The sequence below is a fragment of the Homo sapiens genome, chromosome 1 (assembly GCF_000001405.40).
Source record: "Homo sapiens chromosome 1, GRCh38.p14 Primary Assembly".
NCBI classification, from domain to species: domain Eukaryota; kingdom Metazoa; phylum Chordata; class Mammalia; order Primates; family Hominidae; genus Homo; species Homo sapiens.
Window position 1 is genome coordinate 155,276,734 of NC_000001.11, and position 729 is coordinate 155,277,462.

Sequence of the window (729 nt, forward strand, 5' to 3'; positions counted from 1 at the left end):
TGAGGCAGTGGTAATAAGAATTGGAGATGAAGGGGAGAATTTGAGATATTTAGGAATTTGTAGCACTTCGCATAGCACTGCAATTTACCTGTCTGTCGTTGGGCACAGATGAGCAGTGGCTTTATGGCTAGGCCTTTGTTTTTGTTTTGTTTTGTGTTGTTTTCCATTACTACATGGAGATGCTAAGACTAGGACTTTTGTATTCATTTTTGTTTCCTCAGCATCCACTCAATGACAGGCAGAGTTGCACTTGGTGAAGGCTGACAGAATGAATTAGGAAATTAAATACTAGGGGAAGCAGTTCGGAGGAGACCAAAAGACAAGAATATGCCTAGGACAGTGTTGAGAGAAGACGGGAGCAGGACAGAAGTCCCTGGGCGAGAGTGGAGAAGAATCCCAAAAGCCATTTCCACTTCTTCCATTGGTCCCCAATCCCTCTCCCTCCCAAGTCCTTCAAGCTACAAACCCGCGTCCGATTTTCCCGCCACTGCAGGGGGCTCCTCCTCCCTGGTTCTCAGTGGATGAAAGGCCAACGCTAGGCCACGCCCTCTCCCTGGCTCAGGCTGCGCTCCCCGCCTTCTTTGCTAAGCCACGCCCCTCTCGGAGTTCCTCCAGGATCCCGGCGTCCCAGCCCCGCCCGGTCTTGGCGCGGCCCTCGCCAGGGGGCGCCGCGCAGCCCGCCCGCCGCCCGCCAGTCTAGCACACACCCCCTCCGCCCCGCGCGCCGGC